We start from the raw sequence: 12,441 nt of genomic DNA on the forward strand, positions 1-12,441 counted from the left end.
AATCTTCACTTCATGTGGGTTGGTGCCTTTGCCTGCCTCTTTGTCTCTTCATTCTCTGTCCCCTCCCCATCACCATGATTGGGACTGTGAATGTCAGTCACGGACATTTCTGAGTCAAAATGGTGGCATGTCGGGTTACTAACTGCTTCCTTCAAGAACCATCTGCAATTACATTCAAAGGGTTTACCTTTTGGATCTAAATTTAAATCCAAAATTGGTTTACCAATTAAATCCAAAAGGGAGCTAAGTGAGGTGGTGCGTGCCAGAAGCTCTAGCTACTTGGGAGGCTGAGGCAGGAAGATGGCTTGAGCCCATGAGTTTGAGGGCAAACACTGTTGGAGAAGCTATTCAGCAGCAGGAGAAGGGGCCTCCAGAAGAAGCAGAGAAGTTTTGCTCAGGGATCATTGCCATGGCTCTTCTCCTTTCTTTTAGTGATTGCTTCAGGGAACCATGTAATCAGAATGTCCAGATGAGTGCAGCTTCGTTTGATGTTTTGAACAAAACTTTGTACAGAAGCTTATATCAATATACAAAGATCATGGATGCTTGTAGATACAATGAACCACAAATGAAAATTTGAGGTCAGCCATCCATCAGACATAGTCAACAAATAATGTGGATGGAAACTGGTTAGTCTCTTCTGTACACAGAAGTAAAATGATTATTGATGAAACAAGACATCAGCCTGAGAGGTGCAGCCAGCTGGATTTCTGGGTTGGGTGGGGACTCGAAGAACTTTTCTGTCTTACAAGAGGATTGTAAAATGCACCAATCAGCACTCTGTAGCTAGGATTGTAAAACACACCAATCAGCGCTCTGTGGCTATCTAGAGGTTTGTAAAATGCGCCAATCAGTGCTCTGTGAAAACGCACCAATCAGCGCTCTGTGGCTAGCTAGAAGTTTGTAAAATGGACCAATCAGCACACTGTAAAATGGACCAATCAGTGCTCTGTAAAATAGACCAATCAGCACTCTGTAAAATGGACTGATCAGCAGGACATGGGCAGGGATAAATAATGGAATAAAAGCTGGCCAACCCAGCCAGCAGTGGCAACCTGCTCCGGTACCCTTCCACACTGTTGAAGCTTTGTTCTTTCGCTCTTCACAATAAATCTTGCTGTTGCTCACTCTTTGGGTCTGTGCCACCTTTAAGAGCTGTAACACTCACCACAAAAGTCCGCGGCTCCACTACTGAAGTTAGCAAGACCAAGAATCCACCAGAAGGAACCAAATCCGGACACATCTTGGCGACCAGGAAGGGACTATCACCAAGCAGCGATTACCACTGGACCCCTTTTGCTTACCTTTCTGTCCTATTTTTCCGTAGAATTCGGGGGCTAAACATGGGGCACCTGTCGGCCAGTTAAAAGTGACTAGCATGGCCGCCAGACTAAAGACACGGGTGTCAGGCTTTCTGGGAAAGGGCTCTCTAACAACCTCCAACTCTTCAGGGTTTGGAGTGTTGGTTTGCCTGGAACCAGTTTCCACTTTTCCTGTACTTCTGGGCTGAGCCGAGGATCGACAGAGAAGAAAGCCATTCAGCTCCGGGGTCCCAACAAAAAGCTGGTTGACCCTGCAGCCATGAGCGGAACTGTCAAAGTCATGTCACTCAAGCGAGACTCACCCATCTATCCTATCTATCCTGACCCTTGCCTCCTGGGTCCTAATGCCTATCAGACAAACTTCCTCTCGCCTCTCTTCTCCAAGGCCAGTCCTGCTTCTAAAAACCACTACCTGTCTCTGGTGCTTTTCTAGTTTCTCCTGTAAGAATGATTTCTAGTATAAACTTCAGGACTCTGTTCCCTTCTTTAGGCACCTGGGCTCACCAATCAGACAGACGTAATTGTTGCCCAAAGCCCCACTGGTGGGGAGACTATCTGGAATTTTAGGATCCCTCCTCAGAAAAGCAGGCCTAACAAAGGCTATTCCCAAAGCTAGGGTATGGGGAGCCTGAGAAATGATATCCTTCCTATCCACATGATGAGAAGTGAGGACAAAAGGCGTCACTCTTCCAACCCTAGAAATCCCTTCCCTCCCTCAGGGTATGGCCCTCCACTCAATTTTTGGAGCATATCACCTTTGGAGGACAAGGGTAAGGTCGCAATACTAACAGGAAAAAAAGGCTTAGGACTCTAACAGGTTTTCGAGAATGTGTCGGTAAGGGCCACTAAATCCAATTTTTCTCGGTCCTCTTTGTGGTCTAAGTGGAAAGGTGAGGGTGCAGGTTTTTGAGAATGCATTGGTAAGGGCCACTAAATTCGACCTTCCTCAGTCCTCTTTGTGGTCTAAGAGGAAAACTAGAGTTTCTGCTGCTGCTTCGGTGAGCACAACTATTCTGATCAGCAGGGTCCAGGGACCATTGAGGGTTCTTGGGCAAGAGGGGGATCTGCTGCTGTGTCAGTGAGTGCAACTATTCCAATCAGAAGGGTCCAGGGACCTTTGTGGGTTCTTGGGCAAGAGGGGGATCTGCTGCTGTGTCAGTGAGTGCAACTATTCCAATCAGAAGGGTCCAGGGACTGTTGCAGGTTCTTGGGCAGGGGGTGGGGGGACAAACCAAAACCATGGGCAGTTTTTTCTTTCACATGGGAAACACTCAGGCAGCAACAGGCTCACCCTTGAGATACATCCTAAGCCACTGGGACAAATTTGACCCACAAACCCTGAAAAAGAAGTGGCTTATTTTTTTCTGCACTATGGCCTGTCCCCAATATTCTCTCTCTGATGGGGAAAAATGGCCACTTGAGGGAAGTATAAATTACAATACTATCTTGCAGCTTGACCTTTTCTGTAAGAGGGAAGGCAAATGGAGTGAAATATCTTATGTCCAAGCTTTCTTTTCATTGAAGGAGAATCCACAACTATGCAAAGCTTGCAAACTACATCCCACAAGAGGACCTCTCAGCTTACCTCCATATCCTAGCCTTCCTATAGCTCCCCTTCCTATTAATAATAAGCCTCCTCTAATCTCCCCTGCCCAGAAGGAAACAAGCAAAGAAATCTCCAAAGGACCACAAAAACCCCCTGGCTATCGGTTAGTGTTCCCCTTCAAGCTTTAGGGGGAGGGGAATTTGGCCCAACCCAGGTACATGTCCCATTCTCCCTCTCTGATTTAAAGCAGATCAAGGTAGACCTGGGAAAGTTTTCAGATGATCCTGATAGGTAACAGATGTCCTACAGGGTCTACGGCAAACCTTCAACCTCACTTGGAGAGATGTCATGCTATTGTTAGATCAAACCCTGGCCTTTAATGAAAAGAATGCAGCTTTAGCTGCAGCCCGAGAGTTTGGAGATGCCTGGTATCTTAGTCAAGTATATGACTGAATGACAGCTGAAGAAAGGGACAAATTCCCTACTGGTCAGCTAGCTGTTCCCAGTATGAATCCCGACTGGTATCTCGACTCAGATCATGGGAACTGGAGTCATGAACATCTGTTGAACTGTGTTCTAGAAGGGCTAAGGAGAATTAAGGAAAAAGCCCATGAATTATTCACTGATGTCCACCATAACTCAGGGAAAGGAAGAAAATCCTTCTGCCTTCCTCGAGTGGCTACGGGAGGCCTTAACAAAATATACTCCCCTGTTGCCCAACTCCCTCGAGGGTCAATTGATCCTAAAAGATAAGTTTATTACCCAATCAGCCACAGATATCAGGAGAAAGCTCCAAAAATGAGCCCTGGGCCCTGAACAAAATCTGGAGGCATTATTAAACCTGGCAACCTCGGTGTTCTATAATAGGGACCAAGAGGAACAAGCCAAAAAGGAAAAGTGAGATCAGGGAAAGTTGCAGCCTTAGTCCTCGCCCTCAGACAAACAAACCTTGGTGGTTCAGAGAGGATAGAAAATGGAACAGGCCAATCACCCAGTAGGGCTTGTTATCTGTGTGGTTTGCAAGGACACTTTAAAAAAGATCGTCCAATGAGAAACAAGCTGCCCCCTCACCCATGTCCACTATGCTGAGGCAATCACTGGAAGGTGCACTGCCCCAGAGGACAAAGGTTCTCTGGGCAGAAGCCCCCAACCAGATGATCCAACAACAGGACTGAGGGTGCCTGGGGCAAGTGCCAGCTCATGCCATCACCCTCACTGAGCTCCAGGTATGTTTAACCATTGAGGGCCAGGAAATTGACTTCCTCCTGGACACTGGCATGGCTTTCTCAGTGTTAATCTCCTGTCCCAGACAGCTGTCCTCAAGGTCCATTATGATCTGAGGAATCCTGGGACAGCCTGTAACCAGGTATTTCTCCCACCTCCTTAGTTGTAATTGGGAAACTTTGCTCTTTTCAAATACCTTCCTTGTTACGCCTGAAAGTCCCACACCCTTATTAGAGAGGGACATATTAGCCAAACTGGAGCTATTATCTATATGAATATGGGGAACAAGTTACCCATTTGTTTTTCCCTACTTGAGGAGGGAATCAACCCTGAAGTCTGGGCACTGGAAGGACAATTTGGAAGGGCAAAAAAAGCCTGCCCAGTCCAAATCAAGCTAAAAGACCCCACCACTTTTCCTTATCAAAGGTAATATCCCTTAATGCCTGAAGCTCATAAAGGATTACAGGATATTGTTAGACATTTAAAAGCTCAAGGCTTAGTAAGAAAATGCAGCAGTCCCTGCAACACCCCAATTCTAGGAGTACAAAAACCAAATGGTCAGTGGAGACTAGTGCAAGATCTTAGACTCATCAACGAGGTAGTAATTCCTTTATATCCAGTTGTACCCAACCCCTATACCCTGCTCTCTCAAATACTAGAAGAAGCAAAATGGCTCACTGTTCTGGACCTCAAGGATGCCTTCTTCTGTATTCCCCTGCACTCTGACTCCCAGTTTCTCTTTGCCTTCAAGAATCCCACAGACCACATGTCCTAACTTAATGGACAATCTTGCCCCAAGGGTTCAAGGATAGCCCTCATCTGTTTGGTCAGGCACTGGCCCAAGATCTAGGCCACTTCTCAAATCCAGGCACTCTAGTCCTTCAGTATATGAAGTTACTTTTGGCTACCAGTGCAGAAGCCTCATGCCAGCAGGCTACTCTAGATCTCTTAAACTTTCTAGCTAATCAAGGGTACAAGGCATCTAAATCAAAGGCCCAGCTCTGCCTACAACAAGTCAAATATCTAGGCCTAATCTTAGCCAGAGGAACCAGGGCCCTCAGCAAGGAGCGAATACAGCCTATACTGGCTTATCCTCGCCCTAAGACATTAAAACAGTTGCAGGGGTTCCTTGGAATCAACAGCTTTTGCCAACTATGGATCCCCAGATACAGCGAGATAGCCAGGCCCCTCTATACTCTAATCAAGGGGACCCAGAGGGCAAATACTCATCTAGTGGAATGGGAAACAGAGGCAGAAACAGCCTCCAAAACTTTAAAGCAGGCCCCAGTATAAGCTCCAGCCTTAAGCCTTCCCACAGGACAAAACTTCTCTTTATACCTCGCAGAGAGAGCAGGAATAGCTCTTGGAGTCCTTACTCAGACTCGTGGGACAACCCCACAACCAGTGGCATACCTAAGTAAGGAAATTGACACAGTAGAAAAAGGCTGGCTTCACTGTTTATGGGTAGTTGCGGCAGTGGCCATCTTAGTTTCAGAGGCTATCAAAATAATACAAGGAAAGGATCTCACTGTCTGGACTACTCATGATGTAAATGGCATACTAGGTGCCAAAGGAAGTTTATGGCTATCAGGCAACTGCCTGCTTAGATACCAGGTGCTACTCCTTGAGCGACCAGTGCTTCAAATATGCATGTGTGCGTCCCTCAACCCTGCCACTTTTCTCCCAGAGGATGGGGAACCAATCGAGCATGACTGCCAACACATTATAGTCCAGACTTATGCCGCCTGAGAGGATCTCTTAGAAGTCCCCTTAGCTAACCCTGACCTTAACCTATATACCGATGGAAGTTCATTTGTGGAGAATAGTATATGACGGGCAGGTTATGCCATAGTTAGTGATGCAACAGTACTTGAAAGTAAGCCTCTTACCCCAGAGACCAGCGCCCAGTTAGCAGAACTAGTGGCACTGACCTGAGCCTTAGAACTGGGAAAGGGAAAAAGAATAAATGTGTATACAGATAGCAAGTATGCTTATCTAATCCTAAATCCCCATGCTGCAATATGGAAAGAAAGGGAGTTCCTTACCTCTGGGGGAACCCCCATTAAATACCATAAGGAAATCATAGAGTTATTGCACGCAGTGCAAAAACCCAAGGAGGTGGCAGTCTTACACTGCCAAAGCCAAAGCCAAAGGGGAAGGAGAAGGGAGAACAGCAGCATAAGTGGCTGGCAGAGGCAGGGAAAGACCAGCAGAAAGTCAAAGAAAAGAGAGAGAGGGGAAAGACAGAAAGTGAAAGAGAGAAGGAAAGAGAGAGGAAGAGACAGAGAGACAAAGAGGGAGTCAGAGAGAAAGAGACAAAGTCAAAGAGAAAGAAAGAGAGAGACAGAAAGTCAAAGAAAGAGAGAGAGAAGTAGTAAAGAAAAAAGTGTACCCTATTCCTTTAAAAGCCAGGGTAAATTTAAAACCTATAATTGATAATTGAAGGTCTTCTCTGTGACCTAGAACACGCCAATGCCACCTTATTGTTAGTGTAAACAAGGGGGTAGCCCGAAAGCACTGAGGCCACTGACAACCCATAGCCTTCCTATCAAAAATCCTTAACCCAGCAGGATTCCTAACAGGGGATCTAAATCTTAATTAATTACCATACAAAGGTCCAACCAGACCTAGGAGGAACTCCCTTCAGGACAGGATGATAGATGGTTCCTCCCAGGAGATTAAGGGAAAAAGACACAATGGGTATTCAGTAAGTGACAAGGAAACTCTTGTAGAAGCAGAGTTAGGAAAATTGCCTAATAATTGGTCTGCTCAAACGTGAGAGCTGTTTGCACTCACCCAAACCTTAAAGTACTTACAGAATCAGGAAAGAGCCATCTATACCATTTTTAAGTTAATATGGACTGAACTAGGTCTTATTAATAGCAAAGAATAATTGAAATCCCAAACTTACAAGATTTTCAATAAAAGTAAAGTTTGCTAAAAGTTAACAGTGTAATATGTATTATCCTAACTTCTAATCTTGTGGAAATCAGACCCTATCAGTGCCCCTCAAAGCTCAAGCTGCAAGAAATAACAAAATCTATCCTTAGTCTACAATTCCAAATAGACTCTTTGGCAGCAGTGACTGTCCAAAACCGCCAAGGCCTAGACCTCCTCACTACTGAGAAAGGAGAACTCTGCACCTTCTTAGAGAAAGAGTGTTGTTTTTACACTAACCAGTCAGGCATAGTAAGAGATGCTGCCCAGCGTTTACAGGAAAAGGCTTCTGAAATCAGACAATGCCATTCAAACTCTTATACCAACCTCTGGAGTTGGGCGACATGGCTTCTCCCCTTTCTAGGTCCTGTGACAGCCATCTTGCTATTACTTGCCTTGGGGCTCTTTTAACCTCCTTGTCAAATTTGTCTCCTCCAGGATCGATGCCATCGAGCTACAGATGGTCTTACAAATGGAACCCCAAATGAGCTCAACTAACAACTTCTACCAAGGACTCCGGGACCGACCCACTGACCCTTTGGCTGGCCAAGAGAGTTCCCCTCTGGAGGACACTACCACTGCAGGGCCCCTTCTTCGCCCCTATCCATTTTTTAGAGGCAAAATCGATACAGGCTTCCTGGACAGAATAGGTCGGGTTACTGACACTGCCTCCTGGGGATGCACTGCTGGGGGGTCCTCCATGCCCCCCCTGGGGCTGAAAGTGGACCTCAGACAAAATTTTGTTCAGAGATTTCATTGACTGTGTCTCCAAAGCAAGTATCAGTCCAGCTCGACAGCCATCAGCCCACGCAGAGCATCTCACAGCCTCCACCACCCCCATCCCTTCTGTGGTCTGATGGTCAAGGACAGCCTGGGTCACAGCTGCCCCATACTTCTCTCTCTACTGAGTTTCACACCAGCCACGAACACTCTGTTTTCTCTACTTTGAAAACAGCTGTAACAACCCATCCCCACCACCTCTGCCTTGCACAGAGTCTTCCAGCTCCATGCCTGGCCTGCGCATAGTGCCTCCCCCACCTCCCCTTCTCCCTGGCATGACAGTGCTTACTCTGCCCAGTACAGCCATTCCCCTACCTCCTCCTCTGCTAGGTACAGAAATGCTGCCATCCCCTCCCCCTCCTCTACCCAGAGTGGGAATACCTCCTCTGCCCCCTCTACCCAGAGTGGGAATACCTCCCCGCCCCCACTCCCCAGAGTGGGCATACCGCCTCCTCCCCTTCTTCCCGGAGCTGGAATACCCTCTCTGCCCCCTGTACCCGGAGTGGGAATACCCCTTCCACCCCCTCTACCTGAAGCAGGAATACCTCCTCCACCCCAACTTCCTGGAGCAGGAATACCTCCTCCGCCCCCTCTACCCAGAGTGGGAATACATCCTCCACCCACTCTACCCCCTCTACCTGGAGTGGGAATACCCCCTCCACCCCCTCTACCTGAAGTGGGAATACCTCCTCTGCCCCCTCTACCTGGTGCTGGGATTCCCCCACCTCTTCCCTTGCCAGGTATGGGGATTCCACCTGCTCCAGCTCCCCCTCCCATTTCACCTGAGAGAGGAATCCCCCCACCCACTCTGCTTCTTCCATCAGGCCCTCCACTCCTCCCACAAGTTGGGAGGAGCATTTTACTAACACCACAGGTGTGTGGGTTTCTTCCTCCTCCATTGACAAATGGCTTGTTTGGATTAGGGATGAATCAGGACAAAGGGAGTAGGAAGCAGCCCATAGAGCCTTGTCGACCAGTGAAGCCTCTTTACTAGACAAGAATTCAACTACATAGTAAAAGAGACTCCAGTGCTTCACTTATTTGGGAAAAAAAATTGAAGAGCCATCTATAGATTGTCATGAATTTGAGGAATTGTTTTCTAAAACTGCTGTAAAGGAGAGAAAGAAACCTATCTCTGATACCATCTCAAAGTTGACAGCTAAACAATGCTAAAAGCACCAGCGGGCCAGGGGCGGTGGCTCATGCCTGTAATTCCCAACACTTTGGGAGGCCGAGGCGGGTGGATCGCTAGGTCAGGAGATCGAGACCATCCTGGATAACACGGTGAAACCCCGTCTCTACTGAAAATACAAAAAAATTAGCCAGGCATGGTGGCATGCACCTGTAGTCCCAGCTACTCAGGAGGCTGAGGCAGGAGAATCACTTGAACCCAGGAGGCGGAGGTTGCAGTGAGCCAAGATTGCACCACTGCACTTCAGCCTGGGCTACAGAGCAAGACTCTGTCTCAAAAAAAAAAAAAAAAAAAAAAAAAAAACCACCAGCATACTCTGTGGATGGAGCCAGAAATCAAACCTTGTCTCTATGACAGGGCCAGAAAGAAACATCTTGCCATTGACCAGAGAGCAGGGAGCAAAGCAAAATGCCTAGATGAATACCGAACGACCATTTACTGAATTATTAAAAGTTTATTACGTGATTCTATTCAATAAACATGTGCTAGGTGATTGAAAATTAAGAAAAAAAAATGGATTCCTAAGTCCACAGTAATACTCAAAACAAAATAAGAAAAAGGAAAGTTCTTCATTGCAGAAACATGCCATCTAATCAACTTAGATGTAACAATACAATTGGAAAATCACCAATGTCCTTTGCAACCACTAATACAATTATTGATTTAGGCAAGAATCATCAACAGATGCTAAAACCATTAGGTGAAGTGTAGTAGGAGGCCAAGATAGTAATATATTCTCATAGTATGAAGGCACAAGTTGCTTATTAATTACAATGAGAAAATTATCTCTAATAAAGAGAGCTAGAAAACACCATCTTAATCCAGTCTTCAAACTTAGCATAACAATAATGAGACAAACTGGCATTACATGCTTTCTGATACACTATAATGAAAAGTACGCACATTATATTTGTAGGATTCTTATAAAATGATCTTTAACATGAATATAATCACAAGGAAACATTTAGATAAATAAGAATGTGAGCTATTCTACAAGACAATTGACCTGGACTCTTTAACATATCCCCATGATGAAAGACTAAAAGAGAGATGGGATTTTTTTAGATTAATGGAAGCTAAGGAGATATGATCATCAAATGCAATAAGTGATCCTCAATTGGATATTGGGGTAGAAACAAAGATTTGTAAAAGAGCATTTGAGGAAATTTGAATATGGACTCTGTGTTGACTACAATTGTATCATTGTTAAAATTCTTGGGTGTGATAGTACTCTGGGGTTATGTAGTAGGATGTCCTTAATTTTAGGAGATACAGGATAAATTATTTATGATCTGTCATCATATCTACAATTTAATTTCAAGTGCTTCAGCAAAGATGATGCCACAGATATAGGCATAGGTCCAGTAAATGTTTTTAAATGTTTTAAAATAGCCATCTTCTGATGAAAGTTTTTATTATTATGTTGTGGCACTCTCAGATTTTCTCAGCTGCTTGGTTACAAAATGCAGTCTTAAAATGGATCAGCCCTTTTCCATACCACAGGTAGATTATAAAGTTATAAAGTCTTATTTTATCTTTATATGTTAACAAAAATGTGGACCATGCCCATCATTCCATACTAATAAAAGAATAGAAAGGGTTTGGAGAAAGGAAAGGAAAGATAATATAAGCAGAGTTTTGGAAGCAAAAGCAATACTATCTGGAGAAAAAGAAAGGAAAGATTTTGCAGTTTTTCCTTGTGTTTTTATGTTACATGAAAGTAAGCATTTTTGTATGTATTATTCACTAGTCTGTTCTAACTGCCTAGAATAGTGCTGCTACAAAATAGATAATAAATGGATATTTGAAAGAATGTGAGGTTATACTAAGTGCCTTTATACAAACTATCTCATTTAAATTTTATGTAGAGAGACAGAAAGTCTAACACCCAGAATGTTTATACAGATGGAATAGAGAGTCAATTACTTGCTGGGATGTACTGAGGCAACAGCTTGAGTCTAGTTCTATTCATTCCCACAGCCCATGTATCAGATACACTGCCCTTCTAAACATCATTAGTTCTTTCCCTTCAATTTATAGGAAAGGAAGCACAGAGGCAGGAATAGGTCTTTATTAAGGTAGTATAAATAGTTTATTGCAAAACAAAACTGATGCCCTATGTTCTTTACCCTAGTCTACATAGAACGTAAAATCGGCTAGTCTTTGCTAATAAGGAAAATTATATGTTATAGAGGAAACTGCTCTGGATGTAGTGTTAGATGTCCCTGTGTTCAAATCTTAGTTCTGTTCCTACTGCCACAGAGTTGTCAATAAATATTTGTTAAATGAATGGCTATTTTATACATATCTCATCAGCTCTTCTTTTATTTAGATGGACATACCGACTTGATAGCTCTGTTGTGAGGAACAAGATTCATGACTGTCACATCACTTCTCTTTTCCAAAATGAATATTTATTTCAAAATCAAATCTATTAGTATTGGAGGAATCATTGCTTGTCTACTCTTACTCTTGAAAATATCTGAATAAAGGCACTTTAGCAAGTTAATAACTACAGAATCTTCTTACTCTGAAGTAATATTCCTCTGGATTTTCCACTTAAACCTTCTTTAAATTAATATCAGATGGCCCTTGTGGCATATATTGCAAATGATTGCTGGAATCTGGACATTTCTCTTCTGAGCCCCATGTAAAAATTATTCTTCCCAACTTTTTAAAGACAAATATAACTATATGAGTAGCTCTGGTTAATGAGAGTGGGCCATGATGATGTTTGTCAGTATGAGACACATGAGCTCAGCTCATCCCCTGCCTTGGTGATCACTAAAACACTTCAGAAGGATCTCTCTTTAACTTGGGCCCTTGAGTAACAACAATGAGAAAAGCTTTCCTGCTAATCTTTATTAGAAATTAAACAAATAAATCCATCTTGATTTATCCAGTATGGTTTTGGGGAATGGATATTTGAATACAGCTCCTAAACTTGCCTTTTAGCTGTCAACACCACAATTGGAGCAGGGCAATTTAGGTTGCCTGTATTAGTTTACAACTTTCCTTCTCCCTTTTGAGCCTCCCTATATCCTCTCTGCTGCTCAATTTCAGTTAAAGATTTTGTTTATCTCACTGAAAAATAAAAAAAAAGTCAGAAAACAATTTCACAGTGGCCCAGTACCACTAAATTGGTCATTCTTTTCTCCACATTTTGACTATGATTGAACTGTCTGTGGTACTTCTATCTAAGCCAATTTCTCTATTTGCACACTAGATTCCATCTCCTTTCTTATTCCATGGTATTTTTCTGAAGATGTTTCCTTCTCTTATGCTTCATTGCTTTTCCCTTTTCTAATGGATCAACTTCCATCATCATACTATCCTCTGGTTACCTCTCCTATCTAAAATAAATCAAAATCCTGCCAGGAAGGGGAAAAATATTTTCCACCTTCCTCATCAGTCACTGAGTTTTTTCAATTTATATTTTG

General features: G+C 43.8%; 1 pseudogene; it reads left to right on the forward strand.

Moving 5' to 3' along the window:
- FMN2P1 (FMN2 pseudogene 1) lies at positions 323–8,990 on the forward strand (annotated as a pseudogene).

The sequence above is a fragment of the Homo sapiens genome, chromosome X (genome assembly GCF_000001405.40).
Source record: "Homo sapiens chromosome X, GRCh38.p14 Primary Assembly".
Lineage (NCBI taxonomy): Eukaryota > Metazoa > Chordata > Mammalia > Primates > Hominidae > Homo > Homo sapiens.